We start from the raw sequence: 6,175 nt of genomic DNA, 5'->3' as shown, positions 1-6,175 counted from the left end.
AAGCTGCTCCAACATTTTAGACCTCATTTCCCCCCATTTATAAAAGGAAAGTTATTATTCCCATTTTGGGATTGTGCAAGGATTAAATGGGATAATGTACGCTTTAAAACATGCTTTGTAGACACTAAAGCATTACACAAATATTTAGCCCTGGGAGGGGAGATAAAAGGGTATTCTGCTTAGTGCAATGCTTTTAAATGTGCAGGTTATGAGCTATCAGCAGGTCATGAAAAATATTTAGTGAGTGTAAGGGAAGAATAAAATATTTCCTTCTATTCTTCTATGTTCTCAGCTCAAGCTCCTGTTACAAAAGATAACTAGCAAGAGAAGGGCAAACAGAAGTTTATTAATATGTAGATCTTATATACAAATGGGAGAAACTCAGGGAAGAGTAGTGGCTAAAACTTGAGCTAAAATACACTCTTTAGCTAACAAAGGCAGAAGGATGTGGGCAAGGAAAGTTATGGGAAGGTGACCAGGAAAAGTACAGTAAACAAGGGTAAGATTTGCTGTGCAGATTTAAGTCAGTGCTTTCTCCACTGATAAAAGTCTTGTGATTTAGAGTCTTCTTTTTCTTCCTGGTGCAGAGAGGGAGACATCCTTACAAATGGGGAGTTACTTTAGAAATGTAAATTTCCCTAACCAAAGGGAAACTTATACTGGTTTTGGAGCCTCTCCTGTGTCTGCTATTCCTCAAAATAATCAGCTTAGGGCTAGGCACGGTGGCTGACACCTGTAATTCCAGCACTTTGGGAGGCCAAGGCAAGAAGATCGCTTGAGTCCAAGAGTGTGAGATCAACCTGGGCAACATAACAAGGACTCATCTCTACAGAAAAATAGAAGAAATGTGCAGTAGCATGCACTTGTAGTCCCAGCTACTCAGAAGGCTGAGGCAGGAGGATCACTTGAGCCCAGGAATTTGACGCTGCAGTGAGCTATGATCGCATCACTGCACTCCAGCTTGGGTGACAGAGCAAGACCCTTTCAAGAAAAAAAACAAAAAAGGCTCAAGCTCAAATAATCCTTATGCCAAAATGGCATATTTATTGGGGGAGGTGAGGGAATTCAGGGACTGCCACCCCCAGAATATGATGCCTTGGTGTGCTGATTACATTGAACTGAGGGTACATGGTGAATAGAGGAACAGAAAATCAGGCAGAGGCTTTCTCTGAGTTCCCCTTACCTAAAGACCATCCTCCAAAGGGAACTCAATGGTCCTGAATCCCAGGAATTCCCTTCCCCAGGAATCTCATCCACCAGGGAAGATTAACTGGGATCACACAAGAGAGCCTGGGTGTCACATCCAGACAGAAACCACTTATTCTCCTAAGGGCTGCTCCAGCCAACTTTTGTTACCCGGGAGACTTTTTTTTTTTTGAGACGGAGTTTCACCCTGTCACCCAGGCTGGAGTGGAGTGGTGTGATCTCGGCTCACTGCAACCTCTGCCCCCAGGGTTCAGGAGATTCTCCTGCCTCAGCCTCCCAAGTAGCTGGGACTACAGGCACATGCCACCACACCTGGCTAATTTTTTATTTTTAGTAGAGACAGGGTTTCACCACGTTGGCCAGGCTTGTCTCAAACTCGTGACCTCAGGTGATCTGCCCACCTTGGCATCCCAAAGTGCTGGGATTACAGGAGTGAGCCACCAACCAGTCAACCTGGGAGACTTTTACCTGCATAACAGGAAGACCTTTGTTCACCATACATTTCCTCCCCTCATTCTCTCATAACTTGTGTGGCCACCACACCCGCAGAAGCTGCAAGCCCCTGTTCCCTTCTGTAGCTCAGGATGCCATATAAGCTCCAATCATCAGTCTTTCTTTGAGTCATATTTTGTGGGTCTCTGTGCGTATGATCATAATTAAATATGATTTTTCTCCTGTTAATCTGTCTTATGCCAATTTAATTCATAGCCCAGCCAAGGGACCTAGAAGGGTGGAAGGAAATCATTTTCACTCCCCTACAGTGGCATAATCTGGTTTCATACGGTCATATTTTAGGGTGGCATATTTTGTTCTCCTCCATAAATCATGTTTAGCATTTTAAAATTTGAACAGAATGGAAAATATCAAGGTGTGTATCCCAAATAGTAGGAATAGGTATTTTTTCTTTTATTTAAGTCATGTGTGTGCATGGGTGATATGGTTTGGCTGTGTCCCCACCCAAATCTCATCTTGAATTTCCACGTGTCATGGGAGGGACCCCATGGGAGGTAATTGAATCATGGGGGCAGGTCTTTCCCATGCTATTTTCGTGATGGTGAATAAGTCTCACAAGATCTGTTGGCTTAATAAAGAGGAATTTCCCTGCACAAGCTCTCTCTCTTGGCCTGCTGCCATCCATGGAAGATGTGACTTGCTTCACCTTGCCTTCCACCATGATTGTGACCCCTCCCCAGCCAAGTGGAACTGTGCATCTATCAAACCTCTTTCTTTTGTAAATTGCCCAGTCTCAGGTATGTCTCTATCAGCAGCGTGAAAATGGACTAATACAATTGATATGCGTGTTGTGATATAAAATCTAAGTCTTTTCCACCACAGCACACATACTAACACTACTTGTTTCTGTGGTAAATAATGGAAGTAAAAATAAATGGAGCTGTTTTTGCTTTGCTGTACTTTTCAACTGCAGCATTTGTGCATTCCAAGAGTGGGAGAAGAATTCATCTTGGGAAAGAATGTATCTTTTGTTTGGGAAAAACGTCTTAATGGGCCCTGTGGTTATGCAAAGGTAAGGCCCTGAGATCAGGCTGAAGTAAGCTCTTGCAGACCAAAGGAGCTATAATGCTCTGCATAATAAAGTCAATATTTAAGGGTTTCTGTTTCCTTTGGTGGTCCTAGAAGGAGCAATTTGAGGCCTGGGGCTTCAGGGAAGAGAATTTAAGCTTGGCTCAAGGAGGGAGACTTTAAGTAAAGGCCTCCCTTGACACTGGTGTAACCAAAGGACTCAGGAACTTCTCTGTACTAAGTACTAAATGAAGTTCTCCCCTCCCGTACTTTAAAGTCCTTACAAGGATCTTCAGGCCTTCGGTGGAGTTAATAAAACCTTCTAACCTTGATCTCTCCAGGTAGCCCTGTCTCCAGAATGACGGGAAGGTCCCTGTTTGGGAGGAAAAACCTCAGAGGAAGTGGAAGGTATGCAGAGCCTGTGATGGAGGAGCCAGAGAGATCCAGGAGAAGCTGGAAGCAGCAGAGTGGCAGGAGACCAGTGACTGTGAGGGTGGATGTACTTCCAGGAATTCTTGGCAATTTGGAAAGGGGTTAGAATTCCTCTGGCTGCAGAGCATGTTCTTTTCTTTGATTATTTAAGTAAAGGGTAATTCTGGAAGGTTGGAAAATGTAGGACACCCACTACGTAAAAATCAGGAAGGTACTAACCTATAGCTTCAAGCAAGACTCATCAGGACTATGAGCCTCACCACCACTACCATCATGGTTATTACCACCATCTCCTACCACAGGGCAAAGCTGAGTGACCCTGGTAGGCAGAATAATGGCCCCCCAAAGACGCCCAAGTCCTAATCCTCAAAACCTGAAAATATGTTACAGTACATAGCAAAGGGGAATTAAGGTTGCCAATCCCTTGACCTTAAAATAGAAAGGGCACCCTAGATTATGCAGGTAGGCCCAATGTAATCATATAGATCTATAGAAAGTAAAAAGTTTCCTCTTCAAAGTTTCCCTTCTTGTTAAAAAATAAATCATAAGTGTTAGAAATAATAGTTTCTTTTAAAGACTTTCTTCAAACCTCTTTGATCTGTGCTAATAACTCTTTGTTAAGCCCTATCCCATATAGCTGTTGGACATGCTCACAGGCACGTTCCAGCTCACAGCCTATGCCCCTTCCTTATTTGGAAATGTTATTGCTTCTTTAAATCTTTTGTAAGCAACTTCCTCCTTTCCTTTGTTCTCCCTTGCCTTCACCTATTTAAGAAAGTTTTAGCTTGTTAGCAAATCGGGTATCAGTTTAGACTATGAGGTTTGGCTCCAGCTAGTGGATGCAGGACACAGCAGTAAGAACGACCCAAATGCGTAAGAGATAAATATGTCTGCTTTTCCTTTGTTCAGTATACTCTCGTGGCAAGATGGCTGGCGAGTGTACCCTTTCTGCAGAAAGTAAAAATTGCCTTGTTGAGAGAATTAAATTTATGTTCAAGTGCTATTTCTTTATGGCACCAGGGAACAAGCATTTTGCATTCCTAACAGATCCTTAAATGTGGAAGAGGGAGGCAAAAGAGTGTTAAAATATACCCCCAACAAACAAAGTGGACTCCTTGTGGCTAAAATGAGACACACCGAAAACAGAATCTCATGGCCAGCAGGATGGAGGATTAGTCACGAATCCCAGTGTCGTTAATGGCCATAAGGTTTATTTCCTGTAATTAAGCAGAAACCACTTCCTGAAAAGCATTGCCCAAACAACTATAGCTGGAAAATTTCCCAAATGACCCCAAGATTCTAGCCGACCCAACGCCCCCCTCTTGCCTCCTGCATACCCAGTCTCCAATCTCCCCTCCCTCCCCACCACAACTCTGATTGGACAGAGGACTGGTCTTATAAACTTTCTTTACTGATAAATGGCTGCAGACCTCAAGCCAGTCACAGCCATTTAGCTTATAGAGACTGTGCACAAAGTGTCTGTTTACCTTTTGAGATCAAGAGCCAAATTCTACCTCATTTTAATTCCTGAAACCCCATCCCAAAGTGAATGGAATGTATGTTATAGACATTTACCCACTGTGCACGTGCCAGCCATCCCTCATGAATATTCATAGAATGTCCCCAACCCTGCTCAATACGCATGTAAGTCTTGCCCTATAAGACACATATACCAGCTCCCCCTTCCTTCTGTAGGGCGTGTACTTTCGGTTGTCCCTGGAAGCTATGTTCCTCAATCCACGATTGCTTCTCCCTCTGAAAATAAAGTCTTCTCCTTTCCTTTCTCTGTGTACCTCATGGTCTTTTGTTAACAAGAGTGGGTGTCAGAGTGATGTGATCTGAGGAAGGCTCAGCCAGCCGTGGCTGGCTTTGAAGAAGGAAGGGGCTATGAGCCAGGGAATGTGGCGGCCTCCAGGAGCTGCAAAAGGTAAATGGATTTCCCTGAGTGTGCAGAAGGACACAGACCTTAAGACACTCCCTGCACAGCAAGCTTATCTATGTGCTGACTTAGAAGCTCCAGAGCGGGAGCTCTCTTCCATCAAGAGATCACCTGAGAGACAACAGTCAATTTACAACCTAAAGTACGCCCGCGAGAGAACTGTCTCCCACCCGGAGGGGATCTTGAGGCAATGGCCACTTTACGACTTGCAATGGCATCAGCTTGACCACTTGGTAGATACGGCACCAAAGTCAGTCACTTAGACCTTGCACCTGCTCATTCCCTCCCATGCATGCCATTCATGCCAAATCCCCTTTAAAATTCCCTGCTTTCTGCCCCAAAAGTGAAGCAATACCCTTAAAGGCAAGAGCCTGTACTTCCCCTAAGCTAAACATTGGAATAAAGTCACTTTCTTTAGACCAGACCTCACTTTTGTGAATTGGACCCTGCAGGTGGCAAGTGACTGGTACGTGTTTCAGTTACACTGCTGCTCCAACATCATCCGCCAAAGAAAATCACCAGCCAGGGCTGGCTATGTGGCTCTACCGTATCACAAAGACACCAAGAAATGCAATCCTGACATATGCCCAGAAGGGGATAAAACTAAAATGGATATTTGGCAAAAGCATTGATGATTACCACATATAAATGACCGTATAGGGCCAGGCATGGTGGCTCATGCCTATAATCCCAGCACTTTGGGAGACCAAGGCAGGAGGATCACTGGAGCCCAGGAGTTTGAGACCAGCCTGGGAATCGAACCCATCTCTATGTAAAACAAACAATAAGCAGCAACAACAATAAAAAAACCCACACACAAGAAAATGACCTTATAGGTTTTCCTACAACCCCATAATGCAAGGAGTTAGAGAGTAATCTTTTTTTTTTCCAGAAGTGTGGAAGGGGCAGCAATGGCTTGTTTCAACCAACCTCCTAGTGAGTACAACTCTAAGCTGGACAAAATGTTCTTGAAATAGGTGTGAATGTACTAGAGAACTACCAAAGGCAGTGAGGACTTGATGGGCCAAGATCCCAGGGAGAAGGGAAGCCCAGGGAGGTGAGACTCACATTGGGGGC

General features: G+C 44.3%; 3 annotated features.

Annotated features, from left to right (window-relative positions):
* Positions 2,284-3,073: an enhancer, noted in NCBI's record as "OCT4-NANOG hESC enhancer chr2:62553728-62554517 (GRCh37/hg19 assembly coordinates)". NCBI's record gives its function as "activates a minimal SCP1, AML or CMV promoter by ChIP-STARR-seq in naive H9 embryonic stem cells {active_cell/tissue: H9 hESC(naive)}" and the evidence as "EXISTENCE:reporter gene assay evidence [ECO:0000049][PMID:30033119]".
* Positions 2,284-3,966: a biological region, named in NCBI's record as "BRD4-independent group 4 enhancer GRCh37_chr2:62552835-62554034".
* Positions 2,767-3,966: an enhancer, noted in NCBI's record as "BRD4-independent group 4 enhancer chr2:62552835-62554034 (GRCh37/hg19 assembly coordinates)". NCBI's record gives its function as "activates an origin of replication core promoter dependent on BRD2, P300/CBP, MED14 and CDK7 cofactors, and independent of BRD4, by STARR-seq in HCT116 cells {active_cell/tissue: HCT116}" and the evidence as "EXISTENCE:reporter gene assay evidence [ECO:0000049][PMID:35650434]".

The sequence above is a fragment of the Homo sapiens genome, chromosome 2, assembly GCF_000001405.40.
Source record: "Homo sapiens chromosome 2, GRCh38.p14 Primary Assembly".
Taxonomy (NCBI): Eukaryota; Metazoa; Chordata; class Mammalia; order Primates; family Hominidae; genus Homo; species Homo sapiens.
Note: the sequence above shows the minus strand (reverse complement) of the source record. Positions and strands in the feature narration are given on the sequence as shown.